The sequence below is a fragment of the Homo sapiens genome, chromosome 19 (assembly GCF_000001405.40).
Source record: "Homo sapiens chromosome 19, GRCh38.p14 Primary Assembly".
NCBI lineage: Eukaryota > Metazoa > Chordata > Mammalia > Primates > Hominidae > Homo > Homo sapiens.
This window is the reverse complement of record NC_000019.10, coordinates 51,010,904-51,037,317: the sequence shown is the minus strand read 5'-3', so window position 1 is coordinate 51,037,317 and position 26,414 is coordinate 51,010,904. Positions and strand designations below refer to the sequence as shown.

Sequence of the window (26,414 nt, the reverse complement as noted above, 5' to 3'; positions counted from 1 at the left end):
TCCTCCCACCTCAGCCTCCCACATAACTAGGACTACAGGCCTGTGTCACCATAATGCCTGGTTAATTTTTTTAGTTTTTGTTTGTAGAAACAGGGTCTCACTATGTTACCCAGGCTGGCCTCTAACTCCTGGCCTCAATCCATCCTCCCATCTCAACCTCCCAAAGTGCTAGGATTATAGCCACGAGCCACCATGCCCGGCCCCATACTTATATTTACTTGTAGTGAGAACACTTAAACCCTACTCGGTCAGTAATTTTCAAGTACACAATACATTGTTACTAACTATATACATGGTATTTTTAATTTGCATGAATGCTCCTTAAAATCAGCGAGCCCGCCTTATTTTTTGTATTCAATTTTATTGGATATAAATTCCACATCAGTAAACCTGATTCTCTTAAAAATCTACACAGAAAAAAAAAAAGAGAGAGAGGTTGAGTTGGGTAGTTGTTGGTATTTTTGTTTTTGTTTCTTTGCTTATTCAGTTGAGGTTTATTGTAAAACTTGACACCAGAAAAAGGAAGAAGTGGCGTTTTTGTGCTGTGAGCGTGTGACGTGTGTCCTTTCCAGAGAAAGGACAGTCATGGTGCTTTTTTATCCTCTCTGCCCAAAGAAGGAAAGCTCTTAACAGCCAGCAGGAGGCTTTGTAGGGACCAGCGTTATCAACGCCAGTCGCGCTGACCAATGATGAGTTAAAGCAGTTAGGTCGTTTCTAAGAGCAAATCAAAAGCTAAGGTTCTGTGATTCTGAAAATGAGACACGGACAGAGACTGGAGACCCAGAGAGAAAGTGAAGGACTAAAAGACAGTCATAGGGTGGGAGTTTGCTCTCCTCTGTTTTGTTCTGGGTTTTTTTGTTTGTTTGTGCGCTCTGTCTGACCGCTTTTCTTTTTTTTCTTTTTCTTTCTTTTTTTTTTTTTTTTTTTTGAGATGGAGTCTTGCTCTGCCGCCCAGGCTGGAGTGCGGTGGCACAATCTCGGCTCACTGCAAGCTCCGCCTCCCACGTTCAAGGGATTCTCCTGCCTCAGCCTCCCGAGCAGCTGGGATTACAGGCATGCACCACCACACTCAGCTAATTTTTGTATTTTTAGTAGAGATGGGGTTTCACCATATTGACCAGGCTGGTCTTGAACTCCTGGCGTCAAGTGACTTGCCCGCCTCGGCCTCCCAAAGTGTTGGGATTACAGGCGTGAGCCACCGCGCCTGGCCCTGACTGCTTTTCTCTTGGTTTGTTTCTCAATCCCCCTTCCTCTGAGCCGAATTCCCTTTTTGTTCTCATTTTCTCTCTCTGTCCCCTCTCTCTCTCCTTCTTTCTCTCCTTCCATTCCTCCTAGATGAAGCAAAAACTCAGATAAACCAGCACAGAGGCCAGGTATGGTGGCTCACACCTGTAATCCCGGCACTTTGGGAAGCCAAGGCAGGCAGGTTGCTTGAGGCCAGGAGTTCAAGACCAGCCTGGCCCACATGGTGAAACCCCGTCTCTACTAAAAATACAAAAATTAGCCGGACATGGTGGCACGTGCCTGTAATCCCAGGTACTCAAGAGGTGGAGGTTGCAGTGAGCGGAGATCACAGCCCTGCACTCCAGCCTGGGTGACAGAGCGAGACTCCATCTCAAAACGAAAAACAAAAAACAGCACAAAGTTCCCTTGTCCTGTGACTCATTCTCTCTCTCTCTTTCTACCATTTCTCCTTCCCTGTGTCTTTTTTTTTTCTCTCTGTGGGTTTTATTTAAGCAATAGAAGTTCTTAGCAAAGAAAAACTTTATGGAATTAGATTGATCCACTTCATATGTACATATATGAACTCAGTTCAGAAACTCTCTTCTACCCCTGCCTGATCACCTATTTGGAAGTCTGTTCCTTCAACTCTTCTTCTCTTTCTGGGACTCTTTCTAGCTTGGGCTTCCTGCCCCTCCCGTCCACTCTCCTGCTTTCACAGCCTCTCCTTCCCCCTGCCCCTCCCCTGCACTGCATGGGGATGGGCCCCAGGTGTCCAAGGTCTCCCCACCCTCCTTTGTCACTGGAGTCAGGATTAGAACCCAGCTCCCTAGTCACCTTGAGTCATCAGTCCTGGGGCTGCTGACGGGCTTGCAGAGGAGAGAGGGAGTGGGGCTGGGTCTTCCCACCCTGGGTCCTTTCCTCCTTCCCCACTCCGTTTAGCTGTAAAGCTCAATTAAGTGTGATTAGCTGAGAAGAGTTTCTGCAGAATTAGAGCACGCCCCACCCCTGTCTTCGTGGTCCCCTTCCCTTAACCCGGAAACTGGATGGGCCAGGACAAAGAGAGTTAAGAGCTTTGTCAGTGGTCTGTCTGGAGCGACAGATGGAAGGAAAGGGACCGGTTGAGCAACATGACAGGTGGCTGAGGAGCCAGGTGCAGAGTGGTAGAGTTGGCTGGCGGAGTGGCCAGCACATGAGAAGACAGGCAGGTAGGTGGACGGAGAGATAGCAGCGACGAGGACAGGCCAAACAGTGACAGCCACGTAGAGGATCTGGCAGACAAAGAGACAAGGTGAGAAGGAGGTAGGCGACTGCCAATGAGGGAGTGACACACAGGGGAGCAGGTAGAGAGAGGACAAGCAGGTCATCCCCTTGGTGACCTTCAAAGAGAAGCAGAGAGGGCAGAGGTGGGGGGCACAGGGAAAGGGTGACCTCTGAGATTCCCCTTTTCCCCCAGACTTTGGAAGTGACCCACCATGGGGCTCAGCATCTTTTTGCTCCTGTGTGTTCTTGGTGAGTTCTCCCGGAGCAGGGAGAGGGCAGGACTGCGACTGGATCCCTTCACCCCCATGAGGAGGCCCCACCACCCTCCCCATCTCAGCTCTGGCCCCCAGCCTGGTGGTGAGGAGGAGAGGGGCTTTCTCTGTGCCTCCATTTACCTGCAGCTCTCAGGGTACTGCTCACCTCGGTCTCCCCTATTTTTTGATCCCTCTTCCCTTCTGTCCCTCTCTGAATCTCTGTCTCTCCATTTCCCTCCTATGTGTAAGCATCTTTCTCCCTGGGTGTCTTTGATGTTTCATGGTCTTTTTCTATCACTGGGTCTCTCTCTCTTTCTCTCTCTTTCTCGTCTCTCTTTCTCCTCTCTCTCTCCTGCCTGTTTCTCTCTCTCACTCTGTGTGTCTCTCCATCTCTGTATCTTTTCTTCCTCTCTCTGACCCATGCCCCTGTCTGTCTCCAGGGCTCAGCCAGGCAGCCACACCGAAGATTTTCAATGGCACTGAGTGTGGGCGTAACTCACAGCCGTGGCAGGTGGGGCTGTTTGAGGGCACCAGCCTGCGCTGCGGGGGTGTCCTTATTGACCACAGGTGGGTCCTCACAGCGGCTCACTGCAGCGGCAGGTAAGTCCCTTCCTGGGGTGGGCGAAGGGAGGACTATGGGAAGGCAAGCGCTGGGGGTAGGATCACAAGGGAGGGTGGTGCCCACTGGGAAGAAGCTGATCCTGCAACAAGAGAGTCTGAGGTTAGACCAGGAGTGGAACTTCCTTAGCAGTGGGCCTGGGGTGGTGCTGGGCAGGGTGAGGTATGTTGGGTGGAGGGCCGGGGAGGGTCCTGGAACCTGCCCTCCTGCCTCTCCCATTCCTGCATGTACCCTTTCTTTCCTATATGACATCTGCCACTCACCCCAGCCATTCCTTGACCCAGTCTGGGCCCGGGGCCCAGGTCTCACCCAAGCTCTTTTTCTTTTTCTTTTTTTTATTTTTTTGAGACAGGGTCTCGCTCTGTCGCCCAGGCTGCTGTGCAATGGCGTGATCACAGCTCACTGCTGTCTCTGCCTCCCAGGTTCAAGTGATTCTCCTGCCCCAGCCTCCTGAGTAGCTGGGATTACAGGCACCCGCCACCATGCCCAGCTAATTTTTGTATTTTTTGTAGAGACAGGGTTTTGCCATGTTGGCCAGGCTGGTCTCGAACTCCTGGCCTCAAATGACCTGCCCGTCTTGGCCTCCCAAAGTGCTGGGATTACAGGTGTGAGCCACTGCACCCGGCCAACATGACCCAAACTCTTTGTGCAACTTCAGAATCTATGCCTGGCACCTCTCTGGGCCTCAGTAGACTGATGTTCTGGAATTTTTTTCTTTTTCTTTCTTTTTTTTTTTTTTTGGAGACAGAGTCTTGCTCTTTCTGTCATCCAAGCTGGAGTGCAGTGATGCTATCTTGGCTCACTACAGCCTCAACCACCTGGGCTCAAGTGATCCTCACACCTCAGCCTCCCAAGGAGCTAAGACTACAGGCCTGCGCCACCACACCTGGCTAATTTTTAAATTTTTTTTGTAGAGACAGGGTTTTGCTATGTTACCCAGGCTGGTCTCAAACTCCTCAGCTCAAGCAATCTTCCTGCCTTGACCTCCCAAAGTGCTGGGATTACAGGCATGAGCCACTGTGCCTGGCCTGGAACTTTTTTTGTGAAAGGGGAGATCAGATGCAAAGAAACAGAGACTCAGGGAGAGAGAGGGCCAGCAGCAGGATGCAGAGAGGCCATTCATCAACCCACTCGTTCAATCATGAACCCACTCGTCCACGCATGAGCATGGAGGGCACATGCTCCGTGCCAGGCGGTGGGAATAAGGCAGTGAACAAGGTCCACTGATGTCCCTGCCTTCATGGGCTTCACCAGCCGAGAGAATCAGAAAGAGAGGCCTGGCGCGGTGGCTCACACCTGTAATCCCAGCACTTTGGGAGGCCGAGGCGGGCGGATCACTTGAGGTCAGGAGTTTGAGACCAGCCTGACACACATGGTGAAACCTTATCTCTACTAAAAATACAAAAATTAGCTGGGCATGGTGGCATGCTTCTGTAATCCCAGCTACTTGGGAGGCTGAGGCAGGTGAATTGCTTGAACCTGGGAGGTGGAGGTTGTAGTGAGCCAAGATGGTGCCACTGCACTCCAGCCTGGGCGACAGAGCGAGACTCGGTCTTGAAAAAAAAAAAAAAAAAAAAAAGGAGAGAGAGAGACACAGATGCAGGGACATGGTAGGAGAAACAGGGAACACCCAAGATGGAAAGAGGGTGATGGAGGTTGGGAATAAGAGCCTGTAAGAGAGACTCGGAGAATGAGAGTTGCGGGTGAGAGGACAGACAGTGAGGGGCAGAACAGTGGGGAGCGGCAGGAGCGCCTGAGTGTCCGTGGAGGGGTGCAAGGTGGGGGACTGCGTGCCTGCCACCCGCTCAGCCGTCGCCACCGGCAGCAGGTACTGGGTGCGCCTGGGGGAACACAGCCTCAGCCAGCTCGACTGGACCGAGCAGATCCGGCACAGCGGCTTCTCTGTGACCCATCCCGGCTACCTGGGAGCCTCGACGAGCCACGAGCACGACCTCCGGCTGCTGCGGCTGCGCCTGCCCGTCCGCGTAACCAGCAGCGTTCAACCCCTGCCCCTGCCCAATGACTGTGCAACCGCTGGCACCGAGTGCCACGTCTCAGGCTGGGGCATCACCAACCACCCACGGAGTAAGGGGCCCAGGGCCAGGGGTCAGGGGTCAGGATGGGTACAAGTCTGGGATGCAGGGCGAGAGGTCGAATCATGACACCTCAGAGGAAGGATGGGTAAAGGGTCAGGGTGTGGGATGGGACATCAGGATCATGGTTTGGGGTCAGAGATTATGGTGGATTGGGGTCTTGGGAGCCAAAGGGGTTAAAGGACTGGGTATGAAGTCAGGGATCAGAGGTCAGAGGTCAGAGTGTGTCAGAGGTCATCACACTGGAGCAAAAGGCATATATATATATATATGTATGTATAGGATATGGGCATTGTGGGTCATGGGTCTGGGGTTAGAGGTCACCGTAGAATTAAGGTCATGGGATCCAGAGGTTGTACAATCTGGTCAAAATCTGAGGATGGAAATTGGGATTCTATCCAAAATCACATATCTGAGATTGGAGGTCATAGCGTTTGGGGTGTGGGGCCCGAAGTTTGGGGTCATGGAGGCTGGGGCCCAATAAACTAGGATCAGGGGACACTGGCGTTGGAAGCAGTGAGGTTTGGAAGATGCAGAGCTGAGGTTGGAGGTTAAGGTAAAGACAGGGACATGGGGTCAGGAGACAGAAGATATGAGATCAAGCTGGGATCATAAGGTAATAAGACAGAAGGTCAAAGATCACAGTAGCTGGCATTGAAGAGGGTCAGGTCTGGATTCGTTGTCTCTGACGCTGGAGAGACAAGAAAGTTCTTGAGTTATGCCACTCAAAGTCAAATGTCAAAGATCAAAGAGACCGTCAATCATCTGGGGTCATGATTCATATGAAATTAAGTCATAAATATGTAACTTGGAGGTTTCGGGATTGTAGTACAGGTCGGTGAGGGGCAGGGGTATTGACATGGATGGGCCACATCCAGGGAAGAGGGACGTGGCCTCAAAGTGGGGAGATTTAGGGGACCCTGCAGCACGCATGTTCTCTCTCCAGACCCATTCCCGGATCTGCTCCAGTGCCTCAACCTCTCCATCGTCTCCCATGCCACCTGCCATGGTGTGTATCCCGGGAGAATCACGAGCAACATGGTGTGTGCAGGCGGCGTCCCGGGGCAGGATGCCTGCCAGGTGAGCCAGTGCAGGCAGCGTGCGTGGTCACCAGGACAGGAAGTGAAGGGGAGGGGCTGGAAGCAGGAGGGGAACTGATGGAGGATGAATCAGGGAAAGGGGATGCTGCAGAGAGACGGGGTCAAAAAGGAAGGGAGAGGCTGGTTACGGAGGCTCACACCTGTAATCCCAGCACTTTGGGAGGCCGAGGCGGGCGGATCACTTGAGGTCAGGAGTTCAAGACAAGCCTGGCCAACACGGTGAGACTCTGAATCTACTAAAAATACCAGAATTAGCCGGGGGTGGTGGTGCAAGCCTGTGGCCCCAGCTACTTGGAAGGCTGAGGCAGGAGAATCGCTTGATCCCGGGAGGCGGAGGTTGCAGTGAGCTGAGATCACGCCACTGCACTCCAGCCTGGGCGACAGAGCCAGACTCTGTCTCAAAACAAAATAATTAATAATAATAATAATAATAATAATAATAATAATGGAGGAGAGGCCCAGGATAAGGGAGGGAGAGAGACAGGGAGTAAAAGGGAGGACCGGGGAATGGAGGAGGGGGAGGGGCAGGGAGAGAGAGGGAGGAAGGGAACAGAGAAGGAAAGATGGGGCAGGGGTTACAGAGAGAGACAGCAAAACAGACGGAGAGGACTGGGAGCCCAGACAGGGAACCAGCTGTTTCTGGGGCTCTAAGTCTTTCCCATACCATCCTCCAGTTGGTGCTGTCCCAGACTGAGAGAGATTTGAGGATGGCGGTCTCTCCCCTCATTGGTCAGGGCCCCAGCCATTGTCCTTGAGAGAACTCTGTGCTTTTGATGGAGTCCTGCCCACCTTCCCTGGGATTGGTCATTTTTGATGGCACTCTCTCCCCTCATTGGTCAGAACCCCAGGCATTGTCCTTGAGAGAACCTCTATCCTTTATGGAGTCCCACCCTCCTCCCCTGGGATTGGTCATTGATAATAGTGTTCTCTCTCCTCATTGGTCAGGGCCCCAGCCATTGTCCTTGAGAGAATGCTCGACTCTTTATGTTGTCTTGACAGCCTCCCCTGAGATTGGTCATTAATGACTGTGCTCTCTCTCCTCATTGGTCAGGGCCCCAGCCATTGTCCTTGAGAGAACCTCTGTCCTTTATGGAGTTCCACCCTTCTTCCCTGGGATTGGCCCCTAGAGACAGTGGTTCTTCTCTTTTGGTTAGCCATTGCCATTGTCCTCCGGGAAAGTGATTATACTCTTTTGTCTAATGACCAGACTTGGAGCCCTCCCCAAGGCCCAGGACTGGGTTGAAGGGTTGGGGAGGAAAACAGAAATAAGATGTCTCCCTTGTTCAGACAGTACTTCTCTTCCCTTCCAGGGTGATTCTGGGGGCCCCCTGGTGTGTGGGGGAGTCCTTCAAGGTCTGGTGTCCTGGGGGTCTGTGGGGCCCTGTGGACAAGATGGCATCCCTGGAGTCTACACCTATATTTGCAAGTATGTGGACTGGATCCGGATGATCATGAGGAACAACTGACCTGTTTCCTCCACCTCCACCCCCACCCCTTAACTTGGGTACCCCTCTGGCCCTCAGAGCACCAATATCTCCTCCATCACTTCCCCTAGCTCCACTCTTGTTGGCCTGGGAACTTCTTGGAACTTTAACTCCTGCCAGCCCTTCTAAGACCCACGAGCGGGGTGAGAGAAGTGTGCAATAGTCTGGAATAAATATAAATGAAGGAGGGGCCATGTCTGTCCATTTGAAGTCCTCATGCTGGTTGAGACTGGAAGAAGGACTCAGCAGTTTCCCTATCTCATAGGAGTAGAAACAGAGCTCAAATAAGGCCAGGCACAGTGGCTCACACCTGTAATCCCATCACTTTGGGAAGCTGAGGCAGGTGGATCACCTGAGGTCAGGAACTCGGGACCAGCCTGGTCAACATAGTGAAACCCCAACTCTACTAAAAATGCAAAAATTAGCCAGGCATGGTGGCGCATGCCTGTAATCCCAGCTACTCAGGAGGCTGAGACAGGAGAATAGCATGAACCCGTGAGGCAGAGGCTGCAGCGAGCCGAGATTGAACCATTACACTCCAGCCTGGGCGACAGAGCGAGACTCCATCTCAAAAACAAACAAACAAAAAACCCAGTGCTCAAATAGGATGAGGGTCTTCCCTGAGTAGTTACTCAGAAATGGAGTAGAAAAAGTTACTTTTAATAATATAGGCCGGGTGCAGTGGCCCACGCCTGTAATCCCAGCACTTTGGGAGGCCGAGGTGGGAGGATGGCTTGAGCTCAGATTTCGAGATCAGCCTGGCAACACAGTGAAATCTTGTCACTACAAAAACACAAAAAATTAGCTGGGTGTGGTGGTGCGTGCCTGTAGTCCCAGCTACTTGGGAAGCTGAGGTGGGAGGATCACCCGAGCCGGGGAGGTGGAGGCTGCAAAGAGCCGAGATCATGCCACTGCACTCCAGCCTGGGCAATAAAGTGAGACCTTGTCTCAAAAACAAAAACCCAGCAATATAAATAAGACACATGTTTCTTCATCTGGCATAATAGAAATAGTGCCCAGAGCTTATAAGCTTTTCAAGAGTCCACAAAAGACCCGAAAAAGAAAAAGAAAATTGTTAGCTCCAAAATACCAGATGAAAGCTGCAAAGTCAACATTTATGACCATTTAATCCAATGTCCATAAAACGTAGCATTCTTTCCACTAGCCAACTGCAGTTTACTTTCTTGTAATGAAGCATACATTGTATCTTTAATGTGGGACGTGGCTTTGTTCTAATAAGACGAAGGGTGGAGTGCAGGCTTGGAAAGCAGGAGAGCTCAGCCTACGTCTTTAATCCTCCTGCCCACCCCTTGGATTCTGTCTCCACTGGGACTCAAGAGGTGAGGAGAGACCATCTCCCCAAATGCACTGAAGGGAAACTGGAGGAGGGAGGGAGTGAGGGGTGATCATACCAGCGGAGGCACATTTGCTGAGCCCCCCCGCAGTCTGCTCTTTCCAAGTGGACCCTCCTGGAAGCCTGATCCCAACCTCCCCTGCAAGCAGGTCTGTCACCCCCATCTCTCAGATGAAGAAACTGAGCCTTGCAGGGGTGGAGTCCCTTGTCCCCACGTCATAAGGGTAGTCATAGTAGTAGGAAGAGGAAGCACCTAGGTTTGAGGCCAGGGCTGGCTGCTGTCAGAACCTAGGCCCTCCCCTGCCTTGCTCCACACCTGGTCAGGGGAGAGAGGGGAGGAAAGCCAAGGGAAGGGACCTAACTGAAAACAAACAAGCTGGGAGAAGCAGGAATCTGCGCTCGGGTTCCGCAGATGCAGAGGTTGAGGTGGCTGCGGGACTGGAAGTCATCGGGCAGAGGTCTCACAGCAGCCAGTAAGTGAACAGCTGGACTCGGGCTGCCTGGGCGGCAGGGAGAAGCGGGCAGGGGAAGGGTCAGCAGAGGAGCGAGGCCCCAGAGGAGCCCTGGGGTGGAGCACAGCCAAGGGCTCTGTTCCCTTTCCTGGACTCGGCTTCCACAGGCCCTGACCTGCCTCCCCCACCCTCCGGTCCTGCCCCTGTGCCTGGCAGCAGCCCCACCTGTGTGACATCCCAGCACACCCCCCCTCTCCTTGCAAAGGAGAAGGGAGCGGCCTAGGGGAGGCCAGGGGCCCACCTGGGCTGGGGCTGTGGAGAGGGAGTGGCTGGGACGGGAGGAAAAAGAGAGACGGAGATTAGATGGAAGAAGAGGGATTTCAAGACAAATTGCCAGAGATGCAGTCAGAGAGACTGACTGAGAGACACAAAGATAGAAGGAATTAGAGAAAGGGCCACACAGAGCCAGACAGAGAGAGAAGAGTGGAGATGGAGACAGGGACGAGGACAGAGAAAGGCAGACAGACACATAGGGACAGAAAGAGAAAAATCACACAAAGTCAGAATTACTGAATGACAGGGAATGACACATAGAACGAGACACAGATTCAGAGACTCAGGGCAGGGAAAGGAAGGCTGCAGACAGACAGACAGACAGAGGGAGGCTGAGACACAGGGAGAAGAGGGGCTTGGAGAGGTGGCACAGGCAGGCAGCCAGTGCCTCAGAGGCCTCCGGGGAGGGCCCTCACACACACCCCGCCCCGGGGCATTAAGGCAGGGCTTGGAGGCCAGTCATCCTGGGCCCGCCCAGGGCCGCCCCCCTGCCAGCCCGCCTGCCTGGTGCCTGGCACCTGGCGCTCCAACCCAGCCTACCTGCTGTAGCTGCCGCCACTGCCGTCTCCGCCGCCACTGGGCCCCCAGAGCCCCAGCCCCAGAGCCTGTGAGTCCAGGAGGAAAGGGAAGCTGCCCCTCCCCGTCCAGGTGTCAGCCCTCCCCAAGGACACCTGTCCCACTCGGGCACCCATTTCTCCCTCTGCTCTGTCCTTCTCTGCTTGGGTGGGGGTTCCTGGCCTCTCTCTACACCTCTCACCTCCGATGGCTGTCCGCAGCCTCAGTTACCTCTAATCTCCATGGCTTCAGCTGCTGAGCTGGCCCTCTGCTCCCACCCCCGCTGGCCAGGGCAGCGGAGGGCACTGGCCCTCCCCTCGACCAGCCCCGCCCAGCTTTGCTTGGCTGTCCTTCAAAAGGGCAGGGGTTTGGCGGACAGGGCTTCAGCAAGCCGGGTGATGGGGGTCCCAGACATTGTCTGGGGCTGAGCCCCCTACTCCCCTCCAGCAGACCTCAAAGGCTCCATATCGCTCTGCTGCGAAGACAATGAAAAAGGGGTGGCTACGGAACGGTGTCTGGTTCCCCTTGTCCTTCCACCCCAAGCTGCTGGGGCCTGGCCAGCTCTCAAGGCAAGAAGGAAAACATCCTCTGACATGTGCCGGGGAGGTCCCATGGCTGACTTGAACAGGGCCGAACCATGGCTTGACAGCTCAAAGCCCCTCCCAACGACTTCCACATGGTTCTTGGTATCTCGGAAGCTTCTAGCTGTGACCAGGCCCTCTCCAAGGCCACCCTAGACACCTAAGATATATTTTAAGTGTTTGGAGATCTGAGTGCTGTGAGAAACAGGGGATTTCCCCAACCTTGTTTCTCCCAAGTGGGGAGCGGGAGCAGGTGAGGGAGAGAGGAGAGGGCATGAGCCAGCCCCCCCCTCCCGATTTCCCCGTAAAGTGATGCGGCCCCATGTCCCTCCTTGTTCCCAGAGGAACCTGGGGCCCGCTCCTCCCCCCTCCAGGCCATGAGGATTCTGCAGTTAATCCTGCTTGCTCTGGCAACAGGTACGCAGGGGATGGGGGCAGGGCAGGATCCTCCCTCTTGAATCTCTGGGATCCCCTAACCCTCTGTGTCTGGACAGTGACAGGGCTGATTCCAAATTACAGAACAACCCATAAGGCACCTGAACTGGAGCAGTGGTCATGAGGGCCTGGATGCCCTTCTAGATAATCCCTTTAAATGCCAAAGGAGGAGAGGTCAAGGGGGTCGTAAAGGGTCCCGTGGAGGGGCTGAGGAAGCTGGAGTTGGGGGAGCAGTCACTCAAAGCGCCCAGGACAGGGGCTACTGACCAACCAGTATGGAAGTATTTCCTTTTTTTTTTTTCCCAGAGACAAAGTCTTGCTCTATTGTCCAGGCTGGAGTGCCGTGGTGCCAACACGGCTCACTGCAGTCTTGACTTCCCGGGCTTAAGTGATCCTTAAGCCATCTCAGCTTCCCCGGTAGCTGGGACCACAGGCACCTGCCACCAAGCCAGGCTAATTGTTTAATTGTTTGTAGAGATGGGGGAGGAGGTCTCACTATGTTTGCCTAGGCTGATCTAGAACTCCTGGGCTCAAGTAATCCTCCCACCTTAGCCTCTCAAAGTGCTGGGATTACAGGCATGAGCCACTGCATTTGACCTTATGGAAGTATTTTCATCCTTTAATACCCGACCCCAGCATCCAGGGCAACCCAGAGGGACACCAGACCAGGGCCCAGACCACCCACTCTCTTTCTCTCCTCCCCACCCCCATTTCTGGGAGTCCTCCTGGTCTACCACCTCTCCTTCCTGAGCCCCTTCTTTTGCTCTCACCCCCTCCAGGGCTTGTAGGGGGAGAGACCAGGATCATCAAGGGGTTCGAGTGCAAGCCTCACTCCCAGCCCTGGCAGGCAGCCCTGTTCGAGAAGACGCGGCTACTCTGTGGGGCGACGCTCATCGCCCCCAGATGGCTCCTGACAGCAGCCCACTGCCTCAAGCCGTGGGTGCGGGGGCTGGGGCGGTGCCGGGGTGGGGGGCTGGGAATGGGGAGATGGATGGAGAGAAGCTCAGGGATAGGGGTGCTGGTAAGGGGATTAGAGATGGGGATGGGTAGTGTCAGCAAGGTTGATGGGCTCGAGTTGGTATTGAAGGTGGGGGGATGAATGGGGTTGGGATGGGGCTATGGCTGGGAAGGGGGCTTCGGTGGGAGACGTGGAAGAGGTTGGAAGCAGAGCGATGTTTCTTCATCCTCAAAGGTGTCACTCACCTCTCCCACCCATGTCTCCCCCGACCTTTCCTCCTCCAACTACTGTCTCTCCCACCTCAGCCGCTACATAGTTCACCTGGGGCAGCACAACCTCCAGAAGGAGGAGGGCTGTGAGCAGACCCGGACAGCCACTGAGTCCTTCCCCCACCCCGGCTTCAACAACAGCCTCCCCAACAAAGACCACCGCAATGACATCATGCTGGTGAAGATGGCATCGCCAGTCTCCATCACCTGGGCTGTGCGACCCCTCACCCTCTCCTCACGCTGTGTCACTGCTGGCACCAGCTGCCTCATTTCCGGCTGGGGCAGCACGTCCAGCCCCCAGTGTAGGAGCACCAGAGGGGAACCTGGCAGGGGGTGGTGAGGAGGGAGTGGTCAGGATTGTGGAAGGGTTCAGGGCATCAGAGATGCGGTTCACAGTGACGATGTGGGATAAGTTGAGAGGATGTGTGGAAAACGTCAGGATAGGGGGGTGGGGACAAAAGTTGGGGCCTTGGAGTCAGACGGACGGGATATGCAATCATACATCCATAACCTCCTGGTTGTAAGACCTTAGGCAAGCAGCTTCACCTCTCTGAATCTTGATTTTCTTCTCTATAAAATGAGAATGATTATACCCACCTGTCAGGATTGGATTAGAGATAATGTATATCAAGCAACTGACATAAATCATTTATTGGATAGCAGGCTGGGCACCGTGGCTCACGCCTGTAATCCCAGCACTTTGGGAGGCCGAGGTGGGAAGATCACCTGAGGTCAGGACTTTGATACCAGCCTGGCCAACGTGGTGAAATCCCATCTCTACTAAAAATGTGAAAATTAGTTGGGCGTGGTTGTGTGCGCCTGTAATCCCAGCTACTCGGGAGGTTGAGGCAGGAGAATCGCTTAAACTTGGGAGACGGAGGTTGCAGTGAGCCAAGATCACGCCACTGCACTCCAGCCTGGGCAACAGAGCAAGACTCTGTCTCGAAAAAAAAAAAAAAAAAGCTGGATAGCATTGCTGTTGCTATTGTTACAAGAAGAGAGGTGAGTTGGCTGCGTCTAAGGACAGGGATTCCCCCAGGGGCGGGATCACAGCAAGCACTGCATTAGGGGAGGTGGCAGGGGGCTCATTCCCACAGCCCCTCACGCTGTTTCCACAGTACGCCTGCCTCACACCTTGCGATGCGCCAACATCACCATCATTGAGCACCAGAAGTGTGAGAACGCCTACCCCGGCAACATCACAGACACCATGGTGTGTGCCAGCGTGCAGGAAGGGGGCAAGGACTCCTGCCAGGTCAGTGTGGTCTCCAACCACAGCCCCATCCCCATCCCCAGCTTCAATGACATCTTTACCGACATCCACAATTTCATCCCCAACCTCAACCCGCCGACCCCTGCAACTCCCAATCCATCTCTTCCCCTGTTCCCGTTTCTGACCTCAGCACAAACTTCAGCTCCATCCCCGTTTCCACACCATTTCCAGCTCCAACCATCCCCAAACTCGTTTTTGAGCCTAACCCCATCCTTTATCCCACCCATAATCCCAGCTTTATCGCTAAACCTATCACCTTTCCCAGTGCCTACCCATCCTGTCTCGGCCCCACTCCTAAGCACCGTCCCCACCTCCTCCCTGGCTAACACCATGCTCAACGCTTTCTCTGACCGACATTCTCTCTCCCCGTGCCCAGGGTGACTCCGGGGGCCCTCTGGTCTGTAACCAGTCTCTTCAAGGCATTATCTCCTGGGGCCAGGATCCGTGTGCGATCACCCGAAAGCCTGGTGTCTACACGAAAGTCTGCAAATATGTGGACTGGATCCAGGAGACGATGAAGAACAATTAGACTGGACCCACCCACCACAGCCCATCACCCTCCATTTCCACTTGGTGTTTGGTTCCTGTTCACTCTGTTAATAAGAAACCCTAAGCCAAGACCCTCTACGAACATTCTTTGGGCCTCCTGGACTACAGGAGATGCTGTCACTTAATAATCAACCTGGGGTTCGAAATCAGTGAGACCTGGATTCAAATTCTGCCTTGAAATATTGTGACTCTGGGAATGACAACACCTGGTTTGTTCTCTGTTGTATCCCCAGCCCCAAAGACAGCTCCTGGCCATATATCAAGGTTTCAATAAATATTTGCTAAATGAGTGAATCTACTGAGTGCTTACTATGTGCTAGACCCTGATCCAATGGCTTTTATTTTATTTTATTTTTTGACAGAGTCTCGCTCTGTCACCCAGGCTGGAGTACAGTGGTGCTATCTCTGCTCACTGCAACCTCCACCTCCTGGGTTCAAGCAATTCTCCTGCCTCAGCCTCCTGAATAGCTGGGATTACAGGTGCCTACCACCACATCCGGCTAATTTTTGTATTTTTTAGTAGAGATGGGGCTTCACCATGTTGGCCAGGCTGGTCTCGAACTCCTGACCTCAGATGATCTGCCCTCCTTGGCCTCCCAAACTCCTGGGATTACAGACGTGAGCCACCGCGCCCGCCCGGCTTTCATTTATTAATTAAAAGAAATTAAATTAATTAATCTATTTAGGAGACAGTCTTGCTCTGTTGCCCAGGCTGGAGTGCAGTAACAATCACAGCTCACGGCAATCTCAATTTCCTGGGGTCAAGTGATTGTCCTCCCTCAGCCTCCAGAGTAGCTGGGACTACAGGCACATGCCACGAAGCCCAGCTAATTTTTGTATTTTTCGTAGAGACAGAGGTCTCAGTATGTTGCCCCGGCTAGTCTCAAACTCCTGGGCTCAAGCAGTCTGTCCTCCTCAGCCTCCAAAAGTGGTGAGATTACAGGCATGAGTCGCTGTGCCTGGCCTCCAAGCACTTTCAAATGTATCAACTTAATCCTCACAAAACCCTGTGAGGTCGGTACTGTTTTCATACCTATTTTATAGTTGAAGAAACAGACACAGAGAAGCAAAGTCACTTGCTCACAGTCACGTGGCTAGGAGAGCAAGGATCTGAAGCAAGGCGATCTCTTAATTACCAAGTGATGTTCCTGGAGTAAGGCTCTGTTTGTTTCCTTTCCTGTAAAATGCTGCATGCAAAAGTATAACACAGTAAGTAAAGAAGTCAGTTAGCCTGCACATACTAAGACCTAACCAAAGGAGCTTATTGTTTTTCTCCAACTTCCATGATAGGTAATTAGATAGTGGAGACCTCTGCTGGCCAATATGGTAGCCACTAACCGCAGCTGGCTCTTCCAATTAAAATTACATAAAGCCAGAAATGTAACTCCTCTGTCTCACTTGTTATATCTCCAAGGCTGGATAGCCACATGTGACTGGTGGTGGCTGGATTAGCTAGTGCATATAAAACATCACTGCAGAAAGTTCAGCTGAGCAGCACTGAGTTAGATGGCCTCTGAAGAGGATGTCCCACGGAGAGAATCCAGAACTCAGGATCTTTTTTTTTTTTTTTCTTTGCGACAGAGTCTTGCTCTGTCACCCAGGCTGGAGTGCAGTGGCGTGATCTCGGCTCACTGCAACTTCTGCCTCCCAGGTTCAAGCAATTCTCCTGCCTCAGCCTCCCTAGTAGCTGGGACTACAGGCCTGTGCCAACATCCCCAGCTAATTTTTGTGTCTTTTTAGTAGAGATGGGGTTTCACTATGTTGGCCAGGCTGGTCTCGAACTCCTGACCTCGTGATCCGCCCCCCCTTGGCCTCCCAAAGTGCTGGGATTACAGGCGTGAGCCACCGCGCCCGGCCAGCTCAGGATCTTTTGGGATGGTCTGTTCACCTCGCAGAAGTGGCTGGCATGAGCAATAGGAGCCCAGAGTGGAACCAGGGCCTTCTGGTTGTCAAGTGGACTTGCTGTGTGACCTCCTGTGAGTCTCTGCCCTCTCTGAGCCTCTCACTCCTCACCTGAGATGAGGGAGTTGGCTGAGGTGATGCCGATGCCCCTCACAGCTTTGACCTCCTATGATTCAGGGGCCTGTGTGTCACCTGGTGGCACACAGATGGCAGGGAGGGTGTGAGATGGCCACACATGGGTATGAGGCAGAGCCACAGCCCCCCCCAACACGCACATGGGCTAGTCACTGGGACACACACAGAGCTCACTCACGGCCACAGAGTGGGCGTGGGTTTCCCTTTTTCCTTGTTTCTGTTTCTCTTAGCCTCGGCGCCTCCCTCCCTCCCTCTCTCTCTCTCTCTCTCTCTCTCTCTCTCTCTCTCTGGCTCTTTTAGCCTTGGTTTGTTACAATCTCCCTTTTCAAGCCAGCCTCTGTCCCTCCTACTCAACCTGCTTTATCTCTAGGCCTTCCTCCTTCCTCTTCCACAGTCTGGCTTCTCACATTGTCACTCTAGGTATGCACTTCCCATTGATTTCCTCTTGCTCAGTGGCCTCTCATCCTGCCACCCCTAGCCTTGCTGGGGACGTGAACCCTCTCCCCGCGCCTGGGAAGCCTTCTTGGCACCGGGACCCGGAGAATCCCCACGGAAGCCAGTTCCAAAAGGGATGAAAAGGGGGCGTTTCGGGCACTGGGAGAAGCCTGTATTCCAGGGCCCCTCCCAGAGCAGGAATCTGGGACCCAGGAGTGCCAGCCTCACCCACGGTACAATTAGACAGAGGGAAAGGGAGGGAGCCCGGGGGTGGGGGTAGGGGAGGGTGGAGAAGCTTCCGGACTCCTTGGGGTTAAAAGGGAAGGTCCCGCCAGGGGTCCCTGGGCAGAGGATACCAGCGGCAGACCACAGGCAGGGCAGAGGCACGTCTGGGTCCCCTCCCTCCTTCCTATCGGCGACTCCCAGGTGAAGCTACCTGCACCCCACCCGGGTTGGGGTGGATTGCGAGAGGATGGGTGGGGACCCCCGGGCCACAGGCAGGAGCCGGCTTAGAGCCTCGGTTTCTCCACCTGCGGGACGCGGAAGTCCCCCCGCTGTGAGGTTGAGAAAGAGGCTCCCACTGGCTCCGAGCCTCGGATCCCCACCCCGCGCGTGAAGGAGGGGGAAACCTCGGGCGCGGCGTGGCTGCAGCCAGGGTAGCTGGGGCGCGGAGAGCGCTCCACTCGGGCACAGGGAGGACGGGAAGATGCCGCGAGGGGCGTCATTAGGGTAATTGTGCCCATTACCGCTGTTCCAGCCCGAATCTCCCGTCTGCCAGCCCCTGGGGTTATCGGCTGCAGGTCAAAAGGGTGCTTGCGGGCTGGGGTGGCCCAGGCTGGGCGGATGAGCGCGGCGAGGTGGGGGTCTCTAACGGAGCATCTGTTTTAACCCGCCCCTGCACACACCCCAGCAGATCCTGGCCATGAGAGCTCCGCACCTCCACCTCTCCGCCGCCTCTGGCGCCCGGGCTCTGGCGAAGCTGCTGCCGCTGCTGATGGCGCAACTCTGGGGTAAGGTCGGGGGCAGGGGGCGGGGAGAGGCGCCGGTGGGAGGCACGGGCGGGAGGAGAATGTGTTCCCGTCACCAAGCCCCGCGCACCTCTCCTCCCCCGAGACCCCAGCACCCACCCAGCGCTCCGGAGCACGGCCCGCCCCCAAGTCAGCTGGGCCCTTCTTCTGGCTCGGCCCCTGGGTGACCCGCCCCACTCAGGCCCTGTCCGATTTCTGCCACCCGGATCCTCGCTCTTCCGTGGACTCTTCGCCGCGTTCTTTCTCCTCCTCTTACGCCGCCCCATCCCGGCCCCGCTCCATTTTACACTACCGTGTTTTGTTTTGTTTGTTTGTTTGTTTGAGACGGAGTCTCGCTCTGTCGCCCAGGCTGGAGTGCAGTGACGCGATCTCGGCTCACTGCAAGCTCCGCCTCCCGGGTTCACACCATTCTCCTGCCTCAGCCTCCCGAGTAGCTGGGACTACAGGCGCCCGCCACCAAGCCCGGCTAGTTTTTTGTATTTTTAGTAGAGATGGGATTTCACCGTGGTCTCGATCTCCTGGCCTCGTGATCCGCCTGCCTCGGCCTCCCAAAGTGCTGGGATTACAAGCGTGAGCCACCGCTCCCGGCCACACCACCGTGTTTTATCCTGAGTCTTGCCTTACCGCTTTTTGCCCTCTCCCCTCACTTTTTTTCTTCCTCTTTCCCTTTCTCTCTCTTTTTTCTTTTTCTTTCTTTCTTTTCTTTCTTTCGTTCTTCTTTTCCTTCCTTCCTTTCCTTCCTTCCTTTCGTTTGTTTCTTCTTTCTTGTTTTACTTTCTCTCTTATTTTTTCTTCTTTCTTTCTTGTTTTTTTCTTTCTCTCTCTTTTTCTTTCCTTCTTTTTTTTTTTTTTTTTTTTTTGAGACAGGGCAGTGCTCTGTCTCCGTGGCTGGAGTACAGTGGCCCAATCAGAGCTCACTGCAGCCTCGACCTCCTGGGCTCAAGCGATACTCAGCCTCCAGAGTAGCTGGTACCACAGGCATGCACCACCACATCCGGCTTTTTTTTTTTTTTTTTTTTTTTTTGAGACAGGGTCTCACTCTGTCGCCCAGACTGGAGTGCAGTGGCCCAATCTCGGCTCATTGCAACCTCCACCTCCTGGGCTCAAGCGATCCTCCCACCTCAGCCTCCCAGGTAGCTGTGACTACAGGCGCATGCCTCCGCGACTACTTTTTTGTTGTTGTTGTTGTTGTTTGTTTGTTTTTGTAGAGACTGGGTCTTGCTGTGTTGCCCGGGCTGGTCTTGAATTCCCGAGCTCAAGCGGTCCAACCGCCTCGGCTTCCCAAAGTGCTGGGATTACAGGCGTAAACCACTGCGCCCCACCCCTCTCCTGGTTTTCAATCCCGTTTTGTTATTCACACCCCTTCCTCTCCCCGATCCCCGAGTTCTATCCCCGCACCCTTACCTCCCCGCCGCGTTCAATCCCCGCCCCTCTATCGACCAGCGACGTTCTAGCCAGCTCTCCAGGCGCGCTGCGTTCAGTCCCTGCCCTCCAGACCCACCCTATTCTGTCTCATTACTCCACGCTACCCTATCCCAGCTTCCTTCCACTTTCACGCGCTTCTTCTCCTCCCATTCCCTTCGGTGCACGCGAAACCCCCAATATTTCCCTACCACCCTCGCGTTCTGGCTGCGTCCCCCGTCCCCGAACGCAGTCCAGTGCCACAGCCCAGCTCCAACCCCAAACCCAGACCCTGCCCTCCGTGCTTTGATTCCGTCCCCTTTCTTTCTCCAGCCGCAGAGGCGGCGCTGCTCCCCCAAAACGACACGCGCTTGGACCCCGAAGCCTATGGCTCCCCGTGCGCGCGCGGCTCGCAGCCCTGGCAGGTCTCGCTCTTCAACGGCCTCTCGTTCCACTGCGCGGGTGTCCTGGTGGACCAGAGTTGGGTGCTGACGGCCGCGCACTGCGGAAACAAGTAGGAGGAGATCCATCCCCGAGGACGCCACGGGGGGCTGTGGAGGCGGCCTCCAGGGAGGAGCGGGCAGGGCGGGGTCTCTCGGAACTCCCACAGCTGGAGGTGCGGTCCCCGGTGTCCTTCCAGCAGGAGGAGAGACCGGGCTTGCGCTGTGGCCGCCAGGGGGCGGTGTGGTCCTTTTCCGCATTTCTGGGCCCGTCACTCCTCTCCCGCTGATTCTCCTTGAGCTCTAGGAGGAGGTGGTTGCCTGCAACGGATAGAAGCCAGGGTCCGGTGTGGTCAGGAATTTAGAACTAAAGGAAAAGGTTCACTTCGTGAGTCCCCGTTGAAGGAGGAAGGGTTGGGTATTACCACAGAGAAAATGTGGAGTTGGGCTGGGCTCGGTGGCTCACGCCTGTAATCCCAGCACTTTGGGAGGCCAAGGCGGGTGGATCACCTGAGGTCAGGAGTTCAAGACCAGCCTGGCCAACATGGTGAAACCACTTCTCAACTAAAAATAAAATAAAATAAAAAATAAAAAATTTTAAAAAAATTAAAAAAAAAAAAAGGCTGGGTGTGGTGGTGGGTGCCTGTAATCCCAGCTACTCAGGAAGGAGGCTGAGGCAGGAGAACTGCTTGAACCTGGGAGGTGGAGGTTGCAGTGAGCCGAGATTGCGCCATTGCATTCTAGCCTGGGTGACAAGAGCGAAACTCTGTTTCAACAAAGAAAAGAAAAAGAGAAAAGAAAATGTGGAAGGCTTACCTAGGTGTCCAGGCCCCCAGCCCTCCTCAATTCCTACAGATCCTCAGAGCTCAAACAACTGATTCCTCCTCCCCATGTCCACTGAGGTCCCCTTCTCCCACAAGGCCCTCTTCCCTCAGACTCTTCCTATCTCCAGGCCCTGCGTCACTGCCCACCTGCTTTCCCAGTCCCTATGAAGGGTTTGCCTTCACATGCCTCTTCCTTCCCCCAGGCCACTGTGGGCTCGAGTAGGGGATGACCACCTGCTGCTTCTTCAGGGAGAGCAGCTCCGCCGGACCACTCGCTCTGTTGTCCATCCCAAGTACCACCAGGGCTCAGGCCCCATCCTGCCAAGGCGAACGGATGAGCACGATCTCATGTTGCTGAAGCTGGCCAGGCCCGTAGTGCTGGGGCCCCGCGTCCGGGCCCTGCAGCTTCCCTACCGCTGTGCTCAGCCCGGAGACCAGTGCCAGGTTGCTGGCTGGGGCACCACGGCCGCCCGGAGAGGCAAGAGCTGGGGCTCTGAGGCCGGAACCTCAGGAGGAGGGGGCTGAGGGCCTGAACCCCTGGGTCTGAGGAAGGATGGGCTGGGGACTGGATTCCTGGATCTGAGGGAGGACGGGCTGGGGTCCTAGATGCCTGGGTCTGTGAGTCTGAGGGGAGGAGGGGCTGGGGGCCTGGACTCCTGGGTCTAAGTGGGGAGGGGCTGGGGCCAGGATTCTTGAGTCTGAAGGAGGAGGGGCTGGGGCTTAGGATAGAAACGGTCTTGTATCTGGACTCCTGGCTCCCCAAGGATTGGGGGCTGGACCCAGGGATTACTGGCATATTCTCCCTTCAGTGAAGTACAACAAGGGCCTGACCTGCTCCAGCATCACTATCCTGAGCCCTAAAGAGTGTGAGGTCTTCTACCCTGGCGTGGTCACCAACAACATGATATGTGCTGGACTGGACCGGGGCCAGGACCCTTGCCAGGTAGGGTCTGAACAGGGAGAGTCTCTGACTCCTGGGAGGGAGGACAGGGAGGTTATGGGAAAAGAGCAGACCCTGTGCCCGATCCCCAACTCCATTCCCAAACCCATCCTTGACCCCAACTCTTACCCAGACCTAACCCCCTCCTCATCCCTATCCTCAATCCCATTTCCATCCCAACCCCACCCCATTCCCATCTCCAAGCCCATTTTCATCCCCTCACCTTCCATGAACTACAATCCCAACCCCAGTCTCACTGTGCCTTCATTCTCATCCCCCAGCCCAACCTCCCATAACCTGAAGTCCACCTCCATTCCTACCTTCCAGCTCATACCTAATTCCAACCCCATCCCATCCTCGTCTTTATCCCAACCCAACTCCTTCCTTCCCCACCACTGCCCCAGATCCCAAAGTGACAGCTCTCACGTTGGCACATTTATTTGATCTCTCCTTCCTGCCACCCCCAGAGTGACTCTGGAGGCCCCCTGGTCTGTGACGAGACCCTCCAAGGCATCCTCTCGTGGGGTGTTTACCCCTGTGGCTCTGCCCAGCATCCAGCTGTCTACACCCAGATCTGCAAATACATGTCCTGGATCAATAAAGTCATACGCTCCAACTGATCCAGATGCTACGCTCCAGCTGATCCAGATGTTATGCTCCTGCTGATCCAGATGCCCAGAGGCTCCATCGTCCATCCTCTTCCTCCCCAGTCGGCTGAACTCTCCCCTTGTCTGCACTGTTCAAACCTCTGCCGCCCTCCACACCTCTAAACATCTCCCCTCTCACCTCATTCCCCCACCTATCCCCATTCTCTGCCTGTACTGAAGCTGAAATGCAGGAAGTGGTGGCAAAGGTTTATTCCAGAGAAGCCAGGAAGCCGGTCATCACCCAGCCTCTGAGAGCAGTTACTGGGGTCACCCAACCTGACTTCCTCTGCCACTCCCTGCTGTGTGACTTTGGGCAAGCCAAGTGCCCTCTCTGAACCTCAGTTTCCTCATCTGCAAAATGGGAACAATGACGTGCCTACCTCTTAGACATGTTGTGAGGAGACTATGATATAACATGTGTATGTAAATCTTCATGGTGATTGTCATGTAAGGCTTAACACAGTGGGTGGTGAGTTCTGACTAAAGGTTACCTGTTGTCGTGATCTGACCACGTCCCGGTGAAAGCGTGTGTCCAGGGAAGAAGTGCACAGGGTAGCCCCCAGTCCCAACCTTCCATCCCCAACCCTTAGGGATGATGGAAGAATCATTTTCCTCACCCTAGTTCCAAGTCCCAGGAAACACCTTTTAACCACTTCCTTCTCATCTCCCACTGTTTCCCACTTCTGGTTCCACCCAACACCAGTTCCTCCGAGCTAGGCTGGCCCTGAGTCATTAGCACCTTCTCTGCCTTCATGAGGCCACTGAACTCAAGGGACCTCACCTTGCTTCTATCCCAGCCTCTAAGACCAGAGGGCCGAGGGGGTAGTGAAGATTGGGAAACCCTTGCCACCTCAACTGCCCAGCTTGTGCCAAGAAACCTCCCTCTGACATTTAGGGGAAAATCTTTGGTTTGTCTGTTATTAATTGGCTGTGAGATTTTCGTCCTGAAAACTTGGGAGGAGGAATTGTTTGATTCTCCCTGAAATTGGGGGAGGGAAGGGGAGTTAATACACAGAATCCAGGTAAGGCTAATAGAAGCTTCAGTGTCCGCTGGGTGTGGTGGCTCACGCCTGTAATCCTAGCACTTTGGGAGGCCGAGGAAAGCAGATCATCTGAGGTCAGGTGTTCGAGACCAGTCTGGCCAAAATGGTGAAATCCCATCTCTACTGAAAATACAAAAACTAGCCAGGCATGGTGGCAGGCACCTATAATCCCATCTACTTGGGAGGCTGAGGCAGAAGAATCACTTGAACCCGGGGGGCAGAGGTTGCAGTGAGCCAAGATTGCACCATTGCACTCCATCCAGCCTGGACAAAAGAGCAAAACTCCATCTCAAAAAAAGAAGAAGTTTGAGTGTCTCAGCTTATCCTGAACTTTGAAGCAGTAACATAAGCTAGCTGAATATAGGCACAACAGAAATTTCCCATTAAGCACGGGGTTTTTGTTTGTTTGTTTGTCCTTTCAGTTACCAATTTATGGAGCATCTATTATGTGCCAGGCCCAGTGCTGGGTGCTGGGGACATACGTAGGGGTGATCACAAGGTCCCCCACCCTGCAGAGCCCACAGGAGGTTGATGTACAAGGTCTGAGCACACAGCTCCCTTCCGTGGCCTCTTTCCCATTCTGCCCCCATTAGCACACGCAGGAAATGTCAGACAGGCGTATCAGCTGGGTTTGTCATCCAAAGACCAGAAGCGAGGTCGGTGGAAACTTGAAAACTCGATTCATTATTAAAGGCAACTCACCCGTCCCTTTAGTCACTCCACAATGTTTATCGAGCCACGTCTTATGCCAGGCCTCAAAGATGAATCAGACCAGGCACTACCCTCAAGGAGCTGCTAGTTAGGTCAGGGAGACAGGCCAGTCTTACATTCCTGTCATTCAGGTCTCCACTCAAAAGTCACCTCCTCCGGGAGGCCTTCCTGAATTGCCCAGGCTATAGGAGTCCACTTTTGGTCATCCAGTCCCGATGCTCTGTTTTTTGTTTGTTTGTTTTTTTTTTTAATAGCACCTATTATACCTGAAATTATCTCATTTGTGTTTACTTGATAATGGTCTATGTCACCCTTCCCCACAAATTCCGTGAGGGCAGTGATTCAGATATTTGTTCACTGTGATTTTCTAAGCTCCTGTATTGTGCCCGGCACACAGAAGTCACCCCCGTTGCTGTGTGAACACATAACACAAATAGATCAGTGCTGTAACAGAAGGGGGTATGGGGTGCACCACACCAAGTCCACAGGCTGTGCCTGAAGGAGTCAGGAAAGGCTTCTCAATGAGGGGACATTTGTGCAGGAGTTTAAAGGATAAGTAGGAGTTCACCAGGTAGAGAAGGAAATGCATTTCAATCACTTTGCTGTATGACTTTGAGCAAATTACTTGAATGCTGTCTCTTCCTCAGTTTTCACTCTGTGAAATGGAGACACCTGCTTAATTAGACTCCCGTGAGAGTTAAATGAGATAGGCTGGGCGCAGTGGCTCACTCCTATAATCCCAGAACTTTAGGAGGCTGAGATGGGTGGAATGCTTGAGCTCAGGAGTTTAAGATCAGCCTGAGCAACATAGTGAAACCTCGTCTCTACTAAAAAAAAAAAAAAAAAAAAAAAAAAAATTAGCCTTGCATGGTGGTGCACACCTTGTAGTCCTAGCTACTCAGGAGGCTGAGGCAGGAGGAATACTTGAGTCCAGGAGGTTGAGGCTGCAATGAACTATGATCATGCCGCTGCACTCCAGCCTTGGCAACAGAGACCCTGTGTCAAAAAACAAAAAACAACAACAACAAAAGGATAATTAAATGAGATAATATACATGCAAAGTTCACCTAACACCAGGCACTGAGAACACAGTCAATAAAGGTAGCTATTAAAATGCTCATTTTTTTTTTATTTTTCTTTTGAGAGTCTTGCTCTGTTGCCCAGGCTGGAGTGCAGTGGCACGATCTAGGCTCACTGCAACCTCTGCCTCCCGGGTTCAAGCAATTCTCCTGCCTCAGCCTCCCGAGTAGCTGGGATTACAGGCCGCCCGCCACCATGCCTGGCTAATTTTTGTGTTTTTAATAGAGTCAGAGTTTCACCATGTTGGCCAGGCTGGTCTTGAACTCCTGACCTCAAGTGATCCACCCACCTCGGTCCCCCAAAGTGCTGAGATTACAGGCGTGAGCCACCGCGCTTGGTCTAAAATGCTCTTAATAGCAGTTAAGGTGGCACTTAGCACATAGTGGATACCCAGTCCCTGATCTCAAGGACTTCCCTGTCTGGAAAGGGAGTGAGACAACTGCAGGCAAGGGTGAAATGAGCTATGATAAAGGCACCACAGGTTTCTGCAGGGGATGAAGAGACATTGAACATTTACCATGTGTCAGACACTGTTGTGCTTCATGTGTGTAAATTTGCTTAATCCCCCCAACGACCCTCGTTATTACTGCTACTTAACAGATGGAGCAGGCCAGGTGCGGTGGCTCACGCCTGTAATCCCAGCACTTTGGGAGGCTGAGGCAGGCGGATCACGAAGTCAAGAGTTGGAGACCAGACTGGCCAACATGGTGAAACCCCGTCTCTACTAAAAGTACAGAAATTAGCCAGGTGTCTTGGCGCACGCCTTTAGTCCCAGCTACTTGGGAGGTCGAGGCAGGAGAATTGCTTGAACCCAGGAGGCAGAGGTTGCAGTGAGCTGAGATCGCGCCACTGTACTTCAGCCTGGGTGTCAGAGCAATACTCCGTTTTGGAAAACAAACAAACAAACAAACAAACAAAAAACAGATGGAGCAACTGAGAGAGGTCTTGTGACTTGCCCAAAGTCACACACCTCATCACTAATCACACCTAATCATTGAGATTTGGACACACATGGTTCAGTTCCAGAGTCCATGC

At 53.7% G+C, this 26,414-nt stretch overlaps 3 protein-coding genes across 30 annotated transcripts, besides 4 other annotated features; all 3 read left to right on the top strand.

Annotated features, from left to right (window-relative positions):
- Positions 1-2,315: 2,315 nt before the first annotated feature.
- On the top strand, positions 2,316-8,224 carry KLK12 (kallikrein related peptidase 12). 7 transcript variants are annotated; one of them, NM_019598.3, is made up of 7 exons: positions 2,316-2,523; positions 2,678-2,733; positions 3,179-3,338; positions 5,183-5,442; positions 6,397-6,530; positions 7,861-7,976; positions 8,106-8,224. In NM_019598.3, the coding sequence occupies exons 2-7, from the start codon at positions 2,697-2,699 to the stop codon at positions 8,161-8,163; spliced, it is 765 nt and encodes a 254-aa protein (NP_062544.1). In that variant the 5' UTR covers positions 2,316-2,523; positions 2,678-2,696; the 3' UTR covers positions 8,164-8,224. The 7 variants fall into 7 exon arrangements, with proteins under 7 accessions (NP_062544.1, NP_001357054.1, NP_001357055.1 ...); NM_001370125.1 differs by having other exon boundaries at positions 2,316-2,512; positions 7,861-8,224; NM_001370126.1 differs by lacking the exon at positions 5,183-5,442 and having other exon boundaries at positions 2,316-2,512; positions 2,678-2,893.
- Positions 7,127-7,358: a silencer, noted in NCBI's record as "fragment chr19:51533216-51533447 (GRCh37/hg19 assembly coordinates)". NCBI's record gives its function as "represses an EF-1alpha promoter that drives an FKBP-Casp9 reporter gene in an ReSE screen in HepG2 liver carcinoma cells {active_cell/tissue: HepG2}" and the evidence as "EXISTENCE:reporter gene assay evidence [ECO:0000049][PMID:32094911]".
- On the top strand, positions 9,327-15,082 carry KLK11 (kallikrein related peptidase 11). 14 transcript variants are annotated; one of them, XM_047438105.1, is made up of 7 exons: positions 9,672-9,861; positions 11,176-11,297; positions 11,652-11,726; positions 12,524-12,684; positions 12,937-13,273; positions 14,090-14,226; positions 14,621-15,082. In XM_047438105.1, exons 3-7 carry the CDS (start codon positions 11,687-11,689, stop codon positions 14,771-14,773), a joined length of 828 nt encoding a protein of 275 aa, XP_047294061.1. In that variant the 5' UTR covers positions 9,672-9,861; positions 11,176-11,297; positions 11,652-11,686; the 3' UTR covers positions 14,774-15,082. The 14 variants fall into 14 exon arrangements, with proteins under 14 accessions (NP_006844.1, NP_001161077.1, XP_047294063.1 ...); XM_011526371.3 differs by lacking the exon at positions 9,672-9,861 and adding an exon at positions 10,702-10,780 and having other exon boundaries at positions 11,179-11,297; XM_047438104.1 differs by lacking the exon at positions 9,672-9,861 and adding an exon at positions 10,702-10,780.
- Positions 9,391-9,947: an enhancer, noted in NCBI's record as "H3K4me1 hESC enhancer chr19:51530627-51531183 (GRCh37/hg19 assembly coordinates)". NCBI's record gives its function as "activates a minimal SCP1, AML or CMV promoter by ChIP-STARR-seq in naive H9 embryonic stem cells {active_cell/tissue: H9 hESC(naive)}" and the evidence as "EXISTENCE:reporter gene assay evidence [ECO:0000049][PMID:30033119]".
- Positions 10,507-11,064: an enhancer, noted in NCBI's record as "H3K4me1 hESC enhancer chr19:51529510-51530067 (GRCh37/hg19 assembly coordinates)". NCBI's record gives its function as "activates a minimal SCP1, AML or CMV promoter by ChIP-STARR-seq in primed H9 embryonic stem cells {active_cell/tissue: H9 hESC(primed)}" and the evidence as "EXISTENCE:reporter gene assay evidence [ECO:0000049][PMID:30033119]".
- Positions 11,065-11,623: an enhancer, noted in NCBI's record as "H3K4me1 hESC enhancer chr19:51528951-51529509 (GRCh37/hg19 assembly coordinates)". NCBI's record gives its function as "activates a minimal SCP1, AML or CMV promoter by ChIP-STARR-seq in primed H9 embryonic stem cells {active_cell/tissue: H9 hESC(primed)}" and the evidence as "EXISTENCE:reporter gene assay evidence [ECO:0000049][PMID:30033119]".
- Positions 15,083-17,220: 2,138 nt separating the features above from the next.
- On the top strand, positions 17,221-24,579 carry KLK10 (kallikrein related peptidase 10). 9 transcript variants are annotated; one of them, XM_047439102.1, is made up of 6 exons: positions 17,221-17,250; positions 18,179-18,275; positions 20,028-20,208; positions 21,162-21,436; positions 21,768-21,901; positions 22,366-24,579. In XM_047439102.1, exons 2-6 carry the CDS (start codon positions 18,188-18,190, stop codon positions 22,516-22,518), a joined length of 831 nt encoding a protein of 276 aa, XP_047295058.1. In that variant the 5' UTR covers positions 17,221-17,250; positions 18,179-18,187; the 3' UTR covers positions 22,519-24,579. The 9 variants fall into 9 exon arrangements, with proteins under 9 accessions (XP_047295058.1, NP_001070968.1, XP_006723352.1 ...); NM_001077500.2 differs by having other exon boundaries at positions 18,176-18,275; XM_006723289.4 differs by lacking the exon at positions 17,221-17,250 and adding an exon at positions 17,457-17,498.

What these genes read in the sequence shown, in the direction of transcription:
- KLK11 (XM_011526369.2), top strand. Translation starts at nt 9,801, where the DNA reads ATGCAGAGGTTGAGGTGGCTGCGGGACTGGAAGTCATCGGGCAGAGGT. An exon ending in CAGAGGTCTCACAGCAGCCA is followed by an intron (nt 9,862 to 11,651) that starts GTAAGTGAACAG and finishes CCTTGTTCCCAG; the next exon opens with AGGAACCTGGGGCCCGCTCC. An exon ending in CCCACTGCCTCAAGCCGTGG is followed by an intron (nt 12,685 to 12,936) that starts GTGCGGGGGCTG and finishes TCATCCTCAAAG; the next exon opens with GTGTCACTCACCTCTCCCAC.
- KLK12 (NM_019598.3), top strand. Translation starts at nt 2,697, where the DNA reads ATGGGGCTCAGCATCTTTTTGCTCCTGTGTGTTCTTG. An exon ending in TTTGCTCCTGTGTGTTCTTG is followed by an intron (nt 2,734 to 3,178) that starts GTGAGTTCTCCC and finishes GTCTGTCTCCAG; the next exon opens with GGCTCAGCCAGGCAGCCACA. An exon ending in GTCTACACCTATATTTGCAA is followed by an intron (nt 7,977 to 8,105) that starts GTATGTGGACTG and finishes CACTTCCCCTAG; the next exon opens with CTCCACTCTTGTTGGCCTGG.
- KLK10 (XM_047439102.1), top strand. Translation starts at nt 18,188, where the DNA reads ATGAGAGCTCCGCACCTCCACCTCTCCGCCGCCTCTGGCGCCCGGGCT. An exon ending in GCTGATGGCGCAACTCTGGG is followed by an intron (nt 18,276 to 20,027) that starts GTAAGGTCGGGG and finishes TTCTTTCTCCAG; the next exon opens with CCGCAGAGGCGGCGCTGCTC. An exon ending in GCCGCGCACTGCGGAAACAA is followed by an intron (nt 20,209 to 21,161) that starts GTAGGAGGAGAT and finishes TCCTTCCCCCAG; the next exon opens with GCCACTGTGGGCTCGAGTAG.